The sequence below is a fragment of the Homo sapiens genome, chromosome 3, assembly GCF_000001405.40.
Source record: "Homo sapiens chromosome 3, GRCh38.p14 Primary Assembly".
In the NCBI taxonomy this organism is placed as follows: domain Eukaryota; kingdom Metazoa; phylum Chordata; class Mammalia; order Primates; family Hominidae; genus Homo; species Homo sapiens.
In genome coordinates, this window is record NC_000003.12 from 195,545,807 (window position 1) to 195,555,127 (window position 9,321).

A 9,321-nucleotide genomic window follows, 5' to 3' on the forward strand; every position below is an offset into this window, starting at 1 on the left:
TTTATTCCTCAGTGTGGCCCAAATAAGATTTTCAAATGCCTCTAAACAGAGCTCTCCTTCTGTGCCTCTGCTGAGGTTTGCTCCTGTAGGAAGTTATCTGGACCAAACAGCCCGAGCACTGAATTTAGCTGTATTGCTGTTACATTTCCTGTGTGTTGAGGGTTTGGCTGCCAGGAGGTGAATTGTAGATAGAATCTTTCATTCTGGTTTCAGTTTCTGGAAGTAGCTATTGAGCTCAAGGCAAATCATATATTTAAAGATATATACATGATTTAAGGATAATCTGGCATTTATCTCTGCTCTCTTTTTGAAGACTTCATTATCATGGTTGCCTGACCCAACACAACATATTTGGAGGAGGAGAGGGGACACTTTTATTGTACCCCATCACGTGGCTGAGTCATTTGGCTCTCCATTCACTGGAACAGACGACTATGGACACCACCATTGGGTTTCCCACCAAGGACAGAGTTCCAAAGCAACAGTGGCTTCCATGGTTGGCTCACCCAGCCTGCCTGAGTCATCAGCTAGGTCCACAGAGTAGAGAAGTGGGTAGTGCCCCCGCCTAACATCTGGAAAAATTCCCAAAAGTTGTGACTTCATGACCACTGAGTCAGCAGCAACTCTTTTCTTGCCAAGAATAGCACATTGTTCTTTTCCTTTTCAGGTAATCCCTCCCCGGAAAGAGAAGATCACAGATTTTGTCATATTAAATACATTGTAGAAATTCATGGTAGCAGGGGCAAGATCATTTAAACAAAACAGAAAGTTTCAGAGAGAGAAAAAGCCAAGGACAAAGATTAATCATTTTTCTGCTTAAAAAAAATGGCTTTGATTTGCAACCATGGAATGCTCCACTGTTTCTCTTCTCTTCAAAGACATCTACTGAAAGGATTCCTTAACCTTACCAAGTGGCCAAAATACTTTTCTGAGAAGAGTCACAGAGCATAGGCCCCCCTAGGGTACACAGAGATTTCATTAGTCCCTAGATGTTTCCTGATCCTTTTAAAAACTGGTTAAATTCAGAGACTCTAGGCAATTACTTCTTTCAGAACCTGTGAGGCAAAAACGAAAGAAGAAGGCAGGACACGCAGTGTAACAAACCTTGGAATGGTAAGTAGGAAATATGAGTTAGTTTTTTGGCTAAGCTATGAATTTACCTTGTGCCTGCCAGAAATCACTCAGTCTTTTGTGACTGTAAATTTTCTGTAAGTGTTAATTGGTTTGGTTTATTATTGCAAGAAGCAAGGGAGCAATGTTGTGTATTATAATTTCATTGTGTCAATTTTGCCAAATTATCTTGCATTTTGTTATTCTATGAACTCATAATGGGATAAGGAGTATAGGCTTTGATTCAGAACATATGTGATGTTGCTATAAATGCTTCATGGAAAACCCTAAATATATTTTGAAGCCTACATAGTCAAAAGTCACCATTGGAAGACTTTTTTACTTTACTATTGTATTTATGCTCGTTAGCACTCATTCTTGTTTGAAACGTCTCAAATGCGTAATTTTATTATTTTATTTGTTGTCTCCAGATTGGTCTGAGGACTCCGCTTTCTTCACTGCCCATTCATCTTCATACTGTTCTCATATTTTTTTTTAAATTGGGATATGCAATGATCCTTAGTTTATAAATTCAACTCCACTTTGCCACACACAGTGTTACGCTTGGGGAAACAATTAGAACTTGCCCTTCTTGGCCAGGCGCGGTGGCTCCCGCCTGTGATCCCAGCACTTTGGGAGGCCAAGGTGGGCAGATCACGAGGTCAAGAGATGGAGACCATCCTGGCCAACATGGTGAAACCCCGTCTCTACTAAAAATACAAAAATTAGCTGGGCATGGTGGCGCGCGCCTGTAGTCCCAGCTATTTGGGAGGCTGAGGCAGGAGAATCGCTTGAACCCGGGAGGCAGTGGTTGCAGTGAGATTGCGCCGCTGCACTCCAGCCTGGTGACAGAGCAAGACTCCATCTCAAAAAAAAAAAAAAAAAAAAAGAACTTGCCCCTCTTTTTTTTTTTTTGCTCAAGGAACTCAGTCTGCCGTGGTTGCTCATTGTCTAGGATGAAGTCCAAATCCCTTGGGCCTTCACAATCCAGCCCTGTCTGTTCTTCTAGTCTCCTTCTCTTTTTACATCCACTTGCTTTCTGCTATGTTCTTCACACTAGTCACACTGCCCTTCTCAGGGTGTCAGAGCAACCTATATTCTGTCCCTTTTTCATGCCTTTACTAATCTATGTGAAATACCATCCCCTATTCTTGCTTTTAAATTACCCCAGTTCAAAGGTCATCTCCTTCTCCGACTCCACGCAGGCCGAGTTAGTGTTCACCTTCACTGAGATCCTAAGGAGCTGTTTGCATTCCTCTATCTCATTGTATCATCATTGTCTAAGTGTCCGTCCCTCTGCTGTGGCCTCTTTGGGAGCAGGTGCATGTCTTCCTCCTCTTTCTCCCCTGACAGCATAACTTAATGAATACAGTGTCTGCCGTAAGAGGCCCTCGATACATGTTGGTTATGTAAATCAAAGAAAATGACCAAGGCGAGTCTCGATGATTTGGGTTTATTTGCCAAGGTTAAGGATGCACTCAGGAAAGAACACAGATCCACAGGAAGAACTGTGCTCCATGCTTTTTCCAAAGAGGGTCTGGGGACCTCAATATTTAAAGGGAAAAGAATGAATATTGGAGAAAGAGAAAGAAAGTTTTTTTTTACAAAGGGTGTGGGTGGATAAGAGGCAAGCAGTTGCATTCTTTTGAGTCTTTGATCAGCCATTTACATGTGAGAGGGTGGTAGAGGTACAGTCACTTACACATTCAATGAATCTGCATTTTTTACATAACATAAACATAGGGCAGAGGAAGCAATCAGATATGCCTTTGTCTCAGGTAAGCAGAGGGATGTCTTTGATTTCTGTCCTTTGCCCCATACCTGCAAAGATAAGCTATCAGTATACATTGCCAGGGTGAGATTCAACAGAACTGTTTTAGAGTAAAGATCTGGGAGCCCACAGGAATTACCCTGTGGGCAAATTGTGAGGGAGGTCTGTAGCTTTATTATCTTGTAGCTATCTATTTAGGAACAAAATGGGAGGCAGGTTTGCAAGACCCAGTTCCCAGCTGGACTTTTCCCCTTTGGCTTAGTGAGTTTAGGGTCCCAAGATTTATTTTCCTTTCACAGTTGAATCAGGGAATAAATGAGTTAACTGTTCCTAAATTCGACCTCCCCAATAATGGTGTCCATAACAACATCAATTTCTTGGAAAGCAATCTGACTATATATCTTGTTCTGCATGGCTAAGGAAGGCATTAGCAGCTATAATGCTGGAAAGGAAATAATAGAAATAAGAAAGACTGCTGAGTCAATAGAGAATGCATTACAAAGAGGAAATTGTCCTGTCACCAGTCAGAAATCTTAATTGAGGTCTGTTATGTGCCAGGTCCTTTTCTAGGTATTGTCTATTGCTTAGTTTATTGCAGAAATAAACTACAGCAGGTACTGTATTTCCTCTTTTCATTTTAATTTAATTTAATTTAATTTTTTTTTGAGGTGGAGTCTCGCTCTGTCACCCAGGCTGGAGTACAGTGACGTGATCTCGGCTCACCACAAACTCTGCCTTCTGGGTTCAAGAGATTCTCTTGCCTCAGCCTCCCAAATAGCTGGGATTATAGGTACATGCCACCATGCCCAGCTATTTTTTGTATTTTTAGTAGAGATGGAGTTTCACCATGTTGGCCAGGCTGGTCTCGAACTCCTCACCTCAGGTGATCCACCCGCCTCGGCTTCCCAAAGTGCTGGGATTACAGGTGTGAGCCACCACGCCTGGCCTCCTCTTTTCATTTTAGGTTCAGAACCCTTTCTTTAAAAAGTTCATTGTTAGGCCGGGTGCAGTGGCTCATGCCTGTAATCCTAGCACTTTGGGAGGCCAAGGCAGGTGGATCACCTGAGGTCAAGGGTTCGAGACCAGTCTGGCCAACATGGTGAAACCCTGTCTCTACTAAAGATACAAAAATTAGCCAGGCATGGTGGCAGGCATCTGTAATCCCAGCTACTCGGGAAGCTGAGGCAGGAGAATCCCTTGAACCTGGGAGGTGGAGGTTGCAGCAAGCTGAGATCACGCCATTGCACTCCAGCCTGGGTGACAAGAGTGAAACTCTGTCTCAAACAAGACAAAACAAAACAAAACAAAGTTTGTTATTAGATACGCACATACACACACAAGTCCACCCCTCATTTCATGTGTCTCTCCCAGCTCTGGCTCTGGGCTCCAGGAGAACGCTGTTGCTGTTTTCACAAAGGCATAGCTTCCTGTGTTCATCAAGTGTACCTGTGTTATCAGGTGTTTTTATCAAGTGGTTCTCTAGACAGGACTCAAGACCCTCTTTGCGCTCCCGTGGCTGAGGCAGGTGGGGGGAATCCCTTAGTAGGAACCACAAGGCTCTCACAGGATAAACTGCTGTCTCGTTGGTTTCTCCCCCAAGGACTTCGCCAGACTTCATCAGAAGAAAGCAGTGCAAGAGGGGACTGCAGAGGAAAGCTGGGGCTTGGGAAACCAGCAGCAGGGGCCACGTGGGCAGGTGGTTTCTGTGTGAACCTCTGATCTGTGCAACATAAACAGGAAATGTTGAAGGCTTCCAGTGCTCTTTTTTGATGTCGAGAACATTCTACGGCACAAAAGAGTTTGCCTCTCACTGTTTCTCATATATGGAGGTTTTCTAATCAGCATCCTGAACAGAATTGAATTAAAAATAAAAACCAAAGTAAAACTAGCTTTATCTCTAGATTTTAAAATTTTCATTTTTTTTAGGGTGGCACCTATACTGTTACCTTGTAGGTACCAACTAGAATATTCTTTCTAACTGCCTGTCATTCATGGTTTACCTACTTGGAAGCTTAACCCTGTCCAAGACTGGACCCTAGTCAACACAAATTTTATCTTAATTTTATGAAGGTCTTTCCCACCCCTAATATTCTGGCATTCTTAAATATGCTGCTCAGCTGTGCTTGTCAAAGGCAATTGCGTTTGCTACATTTCAGAAGAGAGTCCAGACAGAGCCCATTTGGCTCTGTGCTAGGAACGGCTGCAGTGCAAGACTGTGGAGCTCTGTGGCTGACCACAGCTGAAACTCACTTTGATCTTGCTAGATGCCGCCAAGTTGGAAAAAATTAACTAAGACTGCAGGGTCAAAGAGAACGCATAAAAGCATTAACTGCTTTTGTTTCATGTTTCCTCTCCCTCCATAGAGAGACAGAGAAATTAAGAAAATTGCTGGATGTGGTTGCTCACACCTGTAATCCCAACACTTTGGGAGGCCAAGGTGGGTGGATCACCTGAAGTCAGGAGTTTGAGACCAGCCTGGCAACATGGTGAAACCCTGTCTCTACTAAAAATAGAAAAATTAGCCAGGCGTAGTGGCGCGCCCCTGTAGTCCCAGCTACTTGGGAGGCTGAGGCTGGAGAATTGCTTGAACCCAGGAGGCAGAGGTTGCAGTGAGCTGAGATCATGCCACTGCCCTCCAGCCTTGGCAATAGAGTGAGACTCAGTCTGGAAAAAAAAAAAAAATTAAGAAAATTTATACAGAGTGGGCAGGAACAAAATCTTCTGGTGAATCAAGTCTGCAGGCTTATTAAATGTGACAGTATGCTTCTTGAAGGATTAGAAATAAAATACGATTAAGTCAATGCTGTAATAGCTCTAAGCAGAACCAAGCACAGTGTCTTTTCCTCCCCCTCACAAGTACTGAACTCTTCTTTCAATCTTTTCAGCTCTGGGACTAGGCCAAGCCCTTCCCTCCTGGGACAGCTGCTTTAGGAGCCAACCAAGCAAGCCCAGCCAGTTCTCAGGGAGTATAATGGCATGGCGGACAAGTCCTTTCTCACCCAAGGCCAGTCTGCTCACCAGGCCTCCCATCCCTGTCACCCTCGGGCCCCTGAACGTGCAGCCTCTTTCCCCACTGTCATCTTCCAGCCTCTCGTGTAGCTTCTCCTCGGCAGCCCTGCCTGCTGGGCATGCCAGCCTCCATTCCTCACAAACTGCTTATGTGCAGGGTGATACTCAGGATATTTGAGAACCAAAATGGTGTGGGCAGGCCCCAACCAAGCAGGAAGGAAAATGGCTATCATGCAGGCATGGCTCCATGTAATTCAGAGAAGCCTCTGCTACCGGGTGTTACCCCTTTAGTTTTCGGGCTCACTGGGGAGCCCCAGGGGTGGTCACGAGATGGGGAACATTCTGGAGACTTAAAAAAGAGTGGCCGTGCACAGAGTAGAACTGCTGTGTGTTGGTACACATCCGCCTGTCACATCAGCCTGTCTGAGACCCCAGATACCTTCCCAGAATGTTGCCTGCACTCCTCACCTTAACAGAAGGCTGGGTTTTCTGTCCCAGGCAACTCACAAATAGTGGCCGGCAGTTCTGTGCCATGGAGCCCAGCGCTGGGCAGGAGTTAGGATTCTGCTTGACTCCCAAGACGGCTGCTGCTGTTATCATCATTTCCTCCATTCTGACCCATGGCCCAGGGTAAAAATTTCTTGAGGCTCATGTCAATGACATCCCCCTGTGTGTGCCTTCCAGTGGCTGCCATCTAGTAAGCTCTTGCTGATCTCTAAATGGCATCAAGAACTTTGGTCCATATTTTTTCTCATTTAAGAAATATTTCTTAAGCATTCACTGTGCCAGACAACTTGCTGTATGTCCAGAGATGTATAAAACATGATTCTTGTCCTTAAAGGTAAGCTAACCTTTTTTTTTTTTTTTTTGAGATGGAGTCTTGCTCTGTCGCCCACGCTGGAGTGCAATGGTGTAATCTCGGCTCACCACAAACTCTGCCTCCCAGGTTCCAGTGATTCTCCTGTCTCAGCCTCCTGAGTAGCTGGGATCACAGGCGCATGCCACCATGCCCAGCTCATTTTTGTATTTTTAGTAGAGACGGGGTTTCACCATGTTGGCCAGGCTGGTCTCAAACTCCTGACCTCAGGTGATCTGCCCGTCTTGGCCTCCCAAAGTGCTGGGATTACAGGCGTGAGCCACCGCACCCAGATGTAAGCTCATAGTTTAATAAGGAAATATAAAACAAAGAATGACCAGACTAGGTGGTAAATGCCTAAGTGGACACAGTGTTTACAAACATAGAAACATGGACACGTGGAAATGATGATGTACTGGTTTCCTGTGGCTTAAAACAACAGAAATGTATATTCTCCCACAGTTCTGGAGGCTAGACATCTGAAATCAAGGTGTCAGCAGGGCCATCCTCCCTCTGAGACTCCAGGTAGGATCTTTTCCTGCCTTCTCCTAGCTTCCAGTCCTGGTCAGCGATCCTCAGTGCTCCCTGCTCTCTGCTGCATCACTCCAGTCTCTGCTGTCGGCCTGTGTTCTCCCATGTGTTTCTGTCTTCATGTGGTATCTTCCTTTTCTTATGAGGATATTAGTCGTATTGTATTAGGGCCTACCCTAATGAGCTCATCTTAATTCAATATGCAAAGACCCTATTTCCAAATAAGGTCACATTCCCAGGTACTGGGAGTTAGGACCTCAACATATCTTTTTGGGGGACACAGTTCAACCCATAACAGTGGGATAGTCAGGAGAGCAGGGGAAGGACCAGAGAAGGCTGGCCAGACAGGCTCGGCGAGCTGGTAAACAGGAGTCAGCAGGGCAGGGAGAATGGTGTTGTGTTGTCTGGAATGATGTATATAAACAGACTGGGGCCCGAGAGGGTGACACCTTTGGAAACTGCAAGGTGTTCAGTCTGACAGGCATAAAGGATCTATGCTCGGTAGTGGCAAAAGATAATCCTACAAGTTAGCAGGAGCCAAGTCATGAATCTCATCGTCTCCCCACACGAACGTGCCTGCACTCCTTTACTCCCCTTTTCTGGCTGACAGTAATCAGTCATCTCAAACCCCTACTTCCCCCTCACTTCCCACACGCAGTTGATCCCTCAGATCACTTGATTCTGCCTCCTAAAAATCTCCTAAATCAGGCTGGGCATGGTGGCCCATGCCTGTAATCCCAGCACTTTGGGAGGCTGAGGTGGGTGGATCACCTGAGGTTAGGAGTTCGAGACCAGCCTGGCCAACATGGTGAAACCCCATCTCTACTAAAAATACAAAAATTAGGCTGGGCGTGGTGGCCCATGCCTGTACTCCCAGCACTTTGGGAGGCTGAGGTGGGTGGATCACCTGAGGTTAGGAGTTCGAGACCAGCCTGGCCTACATGGTGAAACCCCATCTCTACTAAAAATACAAAAATTAGGCTGGGCGTGGTGGCTCACGCCTGTAATCCTAGCACTTTGGGAGGCTGAGGCGGGTGGAGCATGAGGTCAAGAGATCGAGACCATCCTGGCCAACATGGTGAAACTCCATCCCTACTAAAAAAAAAATGCAAAAATTAGCTGGGTGTGGTGGTGCACACCTGTAGTCTCAGCTACTCTGGAGGCTGAGGCAGAAGAATCGCTTGAACCTGGGAGGCGGAGGTTGCAGTGAGCCGAGATCGCGCCACTGCACTCCAGCCTGGCAACAGAGCAAGACTCCATCTCATAAAACAAACAAACAAACAAACAAACAAAACCAACAACAAAATCAAAAGTTAGCTTGGCCTGGTGGTGGGTGCCTGTAATCCCAGCTACTCCAGAGGCTGAGGTAGGGAGGATCTCTTGAACCTGGCGGTGGAGGTTGCAGTGAGCCGAGATCACACCTCAGTACTCCAGCCTGGGCGACAAGAGCAAAACTAAACACCATCTCAAAAAATAATAATAATAGTTCTCTTTGCCATCATTTCTCTTCCCGTGGAGCCGCTGCCATGAAGGTTGACCTGTGCAGTTTCAGCAGGTACAAGATCTACCCCGGACACGGGAGGCGCCACGCCAGGACCGACGGGAGGGTTTTCCAGTTTCTTAATTCAAAATGCAAGTTGGCGTTCCTTTCCAAGAGGAATCCTCCGCAGATAAACTGGACTGTCCTCTACAGAAGGAAGCACAAAAAGGGGCAGTCGGAGTAAATTCAAAAGAAAAGAACCCACCGAGCAGTCAAATTCCAGAAGACCATTACGGTGTATCTCTTGCTGCTATAATGGCCAAGAGGAATCAGAAACCCGAAGTTAGAAAGGCTCAAAGAGAACAAGCTATCAGGGCTGCTAAGGAAGCAAAAAATGGCTAAGCAAGCATCTAAAAAGACTGCAAGGGCTGCTGCTACGGCACCTACAAAGGCAGCACCTGAGCAAAAGATTGTGAAGCCTGTGGAAGTTTCAGCTCCCCGAGTTGGTGGAAAACACTAAACTGGCAGATTAGATTTTTAAATAAAGATTGGATTATAACTCTA

The 9,321-nt window shown here is 45.7% G+C and overlaps 2 pseudogenes, besides 2 other annotated features; both read left to right on the forward strand.

The window, feature by feature from the left end:
• Nucleotides 237–476: an enhancer, noted in NCBI's record as "active region_21058". NCBI's record gives its function as "activates an Ori minimal core promoter by ATAC-STARR-seq in GM12878 lymphoblastoid cells {active_cell/tissue: GM12878}" and the evidence as "EXISTENCE:reporter gene assay evidence [ECO:0000049][PMID:35858748]".
• Nucleotides 4,508–4,557: a silencer, noted in NCBI's record as "silent region_15040". NCBI's record gives its function as "represses an Ori minimal core promoter by ATAC-STARR-seq in GM12878 lymphoblastoid cells {active_cell/tissue: GM12878}" and the evidence as "EXISTENCE:reporter gene assay evidence [ECO:0000049][PMID:35858748]".
• On the forward strand, nucleotides 7,986–8,237 carry RN7SL73P (RNA, 7SL, cytoplasmic 73, pseudogene; annotated as a pseudogene).
• RPL24P6 (RPL24 pseudogene 6) lies at nucleotides 8,764–9,321 on the forward strand (annotated as a pseudogene).